The sequence below is a fragment of the Homo sapiens genome, chromosome 10 (genome assembly GCF_000001405.40).
Source record: "Homo sapiens chromosome 10, GRCh38.p14 Primary Assembly".
Classification (NCBI taxonomy): Eukaryota; Metazoa; Chordata; class Mammalia; order Primates; family Hominidae; genus Homo; species Homo sapiens.
In genome coordinates, this window is record NC_000010.11 from 101,812,560 (window position 1) to 101,819,000 (window position 6,441).

Consider the following 6,441-nt stretch of genomic DNA (forward strand, 5'->3'; position numbering starts at 1 on the left):
CTTTACCTAAAATTTTAGCATTGTGTACATCATGAATTTCTGCATTAATTTTGGTTTTTTAAAAAAATTGCATAAAATATTATTTATGTTGATTACTTTTTGGGGGTCCCTTAAAATTTGCACCCAAGGTACGTGCCTCACTTGCCTTGCCCTGGGCCTAGCCCAGCTCCAGCACTTCTTTGCCCAGTGGCCCACTGTTTAATCCACTGGCAGAAGTAAGCAGCACAATCTATGACCACAGAACAGATGGAGTCAGCCTAGCACGCCCATGATATCACACATATGGTCATGACCTTGCTAGCGCAGAGCACTCTTTCAATCTCAGCTAACTGAATAGTTACCAGATAGAAGAAAAGGAAACTACCTACAAAATAAAAATAAAATGTCATAAAATTCTTGTACAACTACATTTAAAATATAACCGTTTTCTTCACAGATTTTGAATTTATGGATAAAAAGAAAAAGATTACCAGCTTCCTCCACTGAATACATCTCTCGCCAAAACATCCTATGTTTGTAGTCATCTTTTGGGGCATACAAGTATGTATTTAATTCCCATTTCTGGAGCCTTAAGGAGAAAGAAAATTACATATGTATAAACAGGCAACATTCATAGGCTGTCAATCTCCATTTCCCTCTTCTTGGAGCATCTCCATCTCATACAAAGCTAATATTCTATGACAGTAGCTTTTAACCTTTTTGTAATCAGTGGAATTTAAAAAAATTAAGTATTACAATGTATGCCAACATACAAAACACTCTTAAAAAACACAACAGCTCTGGGTAAGGTGAAGCCCAAAACTTATTCAGCTCCCCAGGAAAAGTTTGAAAATCAAAGGCCTAGGTGAAGAAAAAAGGGACCAAGGTAAAATAACTTCTGCAATTGAGAAACCATCAAAATGCACCTGGGCTATTCACTGTTAGTATTTCTTCAAACAAAAGAAAATGTTAAGAGTTTAAGGTTCTCCTCTCTCCTTCATATAATGAAGATTTACCTTCTAAAGAGTTCTTTTCTCTGTTCCATAACCCAAGGTCTTCCATAAAATCCTAGATTCAAAGTAAGAATGAAATTATATTCAGTTTTAAAATGTGGTAAGCTTTATTGAGAAAAGCAAGTTACAAAACATATAATACAATCCTATTTTGTAAAAAGCATAAAATACACCAAATCGGAAGGATATTTAATAAAATACTAAGGTTCCTTTAATCTTTGGGTGGTGACGTTACAAGGTGACTTTTATTCCATTTTTGCTTAGGTAATTTTTTTTATTTTTTCTACCATGACATTAGTTACTTAGGTGATAGTTATTTTAAAACAAACATCTATCATCTTTCCACTGTTGATAAAGTCCAAATATATTTAATTCCAATTTTTTAAGAGATCTCAATCTTATAATGGGGAACGGCAGCAATGTAATACAAGCTGCCAACAGTAACAATTACTTCCTAGAATGATAGTAAAACTGCTTTAGAAAGGGTGAGGGGAGGCCGGGTGAGGTGACCCACGCCTGTAATCCCAGCACTTTGGGAGGCTGAGGCAGGTAGATCACTTGAGGTCAGGAGTTCCAGACCCAGCCTGGCCAACATGGTGAAACCATGTCTCTACTAAAAATACAAAAATTAGCCAGGTATGGTGGCAAATGCCTGTAATCCCAGCTATTTGGGAGGCTGAGAAACAACAATCACTTGAACCTGGGAGACGGACTTGCAGTGAGCCGAGACTGCGTCACTGCACTACAGCCTGGGCTACAGAGCAAGACTCCATCTCAAACAACAACAACAAAAGGGTGAGGGGAGATAAACAGGTAAAGCAATTAAAAACAAATCAGAGATAGGATTAGGAAAGAATCTGACTTAATTTTATGATCGTGCTCCTCTTTTTTAAAAAAAGTTCCTGGCCAGGACTGGAATTCCAGTTACTTGGGAGGCTAGGGCAGGAGAACTGCTTGAATCCAGGAGGCGGAGGCTGCGGTGAGCCAAGATCCGCGCCATTGCATTCCAGCCTAGGTGACAGAGCAAAACTCTCTCTCTCAAAAAAAGTTCCACATACAATGATATAATCAAAGGGACCAAAAAATGCCTGAAACCACATTCCCAAGAAATTCAACAGCCTAACTGGCCCAAACAACAAACTCTCACGCAATCTTAATTACAGAGCAAAGATCTGAACAAATGAAAATTCAAGAATATTACTTCTGGTCCTTAAACGGAAAGGAATAAACAAAGAAAACTCAAGAATGTCCCCAGAGTATCCTCTAAGAGGACAAAACACTAGTTATGCACACACTGCAGAAAACAAACTCGCAGACCGATAACCTAAATGGTTGAATAAGCATCAAACTGGTATCTGGAACTCCCTAGTGTGCTCATCACAGCTCAAACCACACACTTTACATCTTGTCTAACCTTTACTTTCCACTTGTCTCAGTCTAATCATCAGTAAGAGATAAGGACAGCCTCTCAAGAGTACCATGAAGAAGGTTAATAAAAGCATTCTGAACACAAAATGTTCTACATAAACCCACACAATCTACATAAGAGACTAGTCTAAAACAAATTTCTGCAATGTATTTTAGCTCCAATCTCTAGGCAGAATGACTCCTCTGCACCACAAAAAGGACAATGACAGACCAAATTAAAATTCATTACATACCAATGTATAACTGTAGCACTTTCATCTGGACAATCTAATGTTAGCCTCTCACAAGTGATACAAAATATTCTTTTTTTTTTTTCTCAGGCGGAATCTCACTCTGTCGCCCAGGCTGGAGTGCAGTGGCACTATCTCGGCTCAATGCAATCTACGCCTCCAACTCCCGGGTTCAAGCGATTCTCCTGTCTCAGCCTCCCGAGTAGTTGGGATTACAGGAGCCCGCCACCACGCCCGGCTAATTTTTTCTATTTTTAGTAGAGACAGGGTTTCGCCATGTTGGCCAGGCTAGTATCGATCTCCTGACCTCGTGATCCGCCCGCCTCGGCCTCCCAAAGTGCTGGGATTACAGGCGTGAGCCACCGCGCCCGGCCAATATAAAATATTCTTGATCAGGCAGACCTATACAAGTCTTTAGCATCCCTACGGCACTTAGCATTATCATTTTTTTTTTAAGGAGTAGGCATTAAACATCCTTTCAGAGTTGCTCCAATATAAAAAAAGACTTTTCAAATGTCTAGCTTAATTAAACATTTTAATCTTTAGAAACCCTACCTTGGCTCTTTTGAGAGTCAGGTTCATGGTTTCGGTTGACTGGCACCACAAAGAGGAAGCAATGCTGTTAATGTAAGTTAAAAACCAAGAGAGTTTTGTGATGGAAAGAAAACAAAAAAGAAATCCTAGCAGTAACTATAGTATTTCTATGCTCATTCATTTTACGGCTGGTGCCAACCAAGAGGTATCAAAAAGAGAGAAAAAAAAAAAAAAAAAAAAAAAAAAAGCCAGGCGCGGTAGTTCACGCCTGTAATCTTAGCACTTTGGAAGACCGAGGCGGGCGGACTGCCTGAGCTCCGTAGGTGGAAACCTGCCTGGGCAACACGGTGAAACCCGTTTCTACTAAAATACAAAAAATTAGCCGGGCCCGTGTCTGCAGTCCCAGCTACTTGGGAGGGTGAGGGAGGAGAATTGCTCGAACCCGGGAGGCGGAGGTTGCAGTGAGCCGCGATCACGCCACTGCACTCCAGCCTGGGCGACAGAGCGAGACTCCGTCTCCCAAAACAAAAACAACAAAACACACAAAAAATCAGTGCTGGCTCAGGTGCTCAGTCACTAAGAAAATATACAAGGGCACGGGAGGGAGGAGGAATAAACGAGAGAATGGCAGACAACTCTGTTCTTTAAATAGGAAGAATCGCCTTTTAATGCTATTCTAAACAAACGAATTTAAACCAAATGAGTTTTCTCCTTTTATAACTGAAGGTATAATGGACTGGCAAGTTTCCTTAGACTCATTCCAGTCTAGCTCCGAAATTTCCCAGCACTCTCTCATCCCCACTCCAAGATCTTTGATAACAAAAACCAGATTCTTTTTCTAAAATCTCCCTGCACTCAAGCCAATAAATACAACGATATAAGTCACACAATGCAATCATTTTTGATGAATACTATATAGCAGTTTTCCATTCTGTAATCCCCCAAATTCTGCAAGACAGTTAACTTCGCTGAACTCTTTCATGCCTTACTGTAGCAGCAAAGTAGCCTGTTATGGTCTGTACCATAACCACCACCCATTTTTCGAAAGAATACTCTAATTTATATGGTGAAAAAAAACAGAAAAGCTGATGTTCTCAACGTCGAGAGCAATCCTTTTTCCATACCTTTTTGGTTTTTTAAATATATATATTTTTTACCCTTATCCACGCCATTACATACGAGAGAGATATAAAACAGACATCTAGGAAACTCTGAATCGGCCAAAATACTTCAGAAAATTCAAATACATGCTGTAACTGCGGAAAGACTAATAATGTAACCGATTCGTGCCTCTACAGAGCTGCAAGGTGGACTATCTGTCCATTCTCATCCAGAAACTGAAACAAGCATCTGGTAATTTTCCCTCACTACCAAAAAGTCCATCGTTCTTTTCGACTGTAAATGGGAAAAAAGGCGAGAAGGGCATTTTTAAAGCCGCTTCTGCGGTCACTAAATTCCAATTACGCATCTCAGATACTTCGAGAATCTGTGATTAAAGCCAAAGTTTCATCCCTCGAGAGCAAAGTACAGTAGCTGGGAAAGAGGGCAATTTTCTAAGTTGCAAATGAATCTTTGCGGGGGTGGGGGGAAGCAACAAAAATATTCTAAGCCAAGTGGAACTTGAAATACTATAGGCCAAACGTGCTTCTCTTCACTCCAGAAGTACAAGCACGTCAGTGTGGGCCGATTTTCCACAAAGGGTGGTGACAGAAGCACTACACATATTTTTTCACTGGAACCAGACAACCCTAGGGAATAAGATCCCAAGGTACAAAGAAGTAGAACTCAGAGGCTAACAGAACACCAGGCTCTTAACCACCGCCTCCTTAGGAGGTGGCCTGGCTCCAAGCCCAAGACGGGTGGGGTCAGACTTGTGAGTGGCCAGGGGGGAATTCGACGCCGTCTTAAGACGTGCAAGGAGATTCGCCCAACATCTCGTCTCTCCCCTCGCTTTAGGAGGGCCACATTTCAGACCCAGAGGCTTTCCGGCCTTTTAGAGTCTCCAAAATCCCCGCCACCACCCTCCTCCCGAGGACAGAACGTGTTAGTGCCAAAACGGGGAGGGAAGGAGGGCGCTCACCTTCCACCACACCGCAGAGGAACCGCCGAGCCCCTCCTGCAGCCCCGGCCACCGCCGCTCCCCCAGCCCCGGCGGGGTTGTCTTCTCCGGGTGCCGGAGCTGCCGGCGGCTCCAGCGATGCCCCCGCAGAGGCGGCAGGGTTGGAGCTGAGCTCGCTCTCCCGCTCCTCCAACGTCGCTTGACTCTCCTTCTGCACCATCCTCCTGCCCCCGGCCGCTGCCACCTCTGCGGGTCCTCCTCGACCTCTGTCCGTTGGGGCACCGGCCCGGAGCCCTGGAGAGGGCTTCAGCTCCAAGTGTGCGCCCCTCCGGCTCCTTCCCCTCCCCCTCTGCCCTTCCCCCTCCCTCTCCGCAGGGACCCGAATGCCCGGATGAGAAGGGCGGCGGCACCGGCGCGAGCCCTTTGTCAGCCGCAGCCTCGGCTTTAAGCTGGGGCGCCAGAAGCCTAAGCGGAGAGCGAGGCTGTGACCTCTCGTTCCCTGGAAGAAGACGGCCAAGGGTCCTGTCCTCGTTCTCTGCCTCTGCTGCCCTCCCGATAATCTTAGGTCTTCCGCTGTTTCCCCTCCAAGCCCCGAGCTCTCCCTCTGCTGCTGCCTCCACCGCCCGCTTCCTGTTTATCCGCACTGCGCTTGCGCTGCAGACCGGCTCAGACCGGTCCCCTCCGCCCGGCTCCCCCGCCTTCTTTGGGGCTAGCCTATTAAGCTTCTTTAGGTAGGGGGAAATAGAACAGGAGACGCGAAAAGCAGAAGGTAATGAAGGCAGTGGAATGTACCATTTCTGCTTGCCACCCTCCGAAACAAGCCTGGCACCCTGGGACGGACGGACCATTACCCGCCCCGAAGGAGGGGAGTATGGGAGGAGGCTGCCGCCGGTTGGGGCAATAGGGAGAAGGGGGGAAGGTGAAAAGGAGAGGTGTTTATTCTCTCAGTGCGCAGGCGCGGAGCCGCGGCCTCTCGTTCTTAAAGAGATAGGAAAGAACTGACCTACTTTCTATGGAGATTCTTGTAATAGGTGGGCTCATTACATCTGCCTAACCCAGGCTTGGTTCGGTAAAGACACCATTCCAAGGAGCTCAGCTCACCCCTCTGCCTTGAATCATTTTCCCCTAATCCCATTTAAAATGTAATCATTCGTTCATTCCTTCATTCAGTAGACATCTATAGAGCTTGCCTCGTGCT

General features: G+C 44.9%; 1 protein-coding gene across 7 annotated transcripts in view, besides 4 other annotated features; it reads right to left on the reverse strand.

Annotated features, from left to right (window-relative positions):
* OGA (O-GlcNAcase) overlaps positions 1 to 5,885 on the reverse strand; it is a 33,995-nt gene extending 28,110 nt beyond the window's left edge. For 6 of the 7 annotated variants that reach the window (XR_007061939.1, NM_001142434.2, XM_047424515.1 and 3 more), the window contains exons 1-3: positions 5,265 to 5,885; positions 996 to 1,047; positions 471 to 568 (exon numbers count right to left, since the gene is read on the reverse strand). Coding sequence is in view for 6 of the 7 variants with exons in the window: in NM_001142434.2 (NP_001135906.1) it covers positions 471 to 568; positions 996 to 1,047; positions 5,265 to 5,463 (349 nt within the window). In the remaining variant the exon portion in view is untranslated. Of the gene's footprint in view, positions 1 to 470; positions 569 to 995; positions 1,048 to 3,205; positions 3,394 to 5,264 lie in introns of those variants that run through there. The other variant, XM_047424514.1, reaches the window with a different exon arrangement.
* Positions 5,418 to 5,993: an enhancer, noted in NCBI's record as "NANOG-H3K27ac-H3K4me1 hESC enhancer chr10:103577734-103578309 (GRCh37/hg19 assembly coordinates)". NCBI's record gives its function as "activates a minimal SCP1, AML or CMV promoter by ChIP-STARR-seq in primed H9 embryonic stem cells {active_cell/tissue: H9 hESC(primed)}" and the evidence as "EXISTENCE:reporter gene assay evidence [ECO:0000049][PMID:30033119]".
* Positions 5,445 to 5,504: a silencer, noted in NCBI's record as "silent region_2727". NCBI's record gives its function as "represses an Ori minimal core promoter by ATAC-STARR-seq in GM12878 lymphoblastoid cells {active_cell/tissue: GM12878}" and the evidence as "EXISTENCE:reporter gene assay evidence [ECO:0000049][PMID:35858748]".
* Positions 5,585 to 5,644: a silencer, noted in NCBI's record as "silent region_2728". NCBI's record gives its function as "represses an Ori minimal core promoter by ATAC-STARR-seq in GM12878 lymphoblastoid cells {active_cell/tissue: GM12878}" and the evidence as "EXISTENCE:reporter gene assay evidence [ECO:0000049][PMID:35858748]".
* Positions 5,795 to 5,914: an enhancer, noted in NCBI's record as "active region_3917". NCBI's record gives its function as "activates an Ori minimal core promoter by ATAC-STARR-seq in GM12878 lymphoblastoid cells {active_cell/tissue: GM12878}" and the evidence as "EXISTENCE:reporter gene assay evidence [ECO:0000049][PMID:35858748]".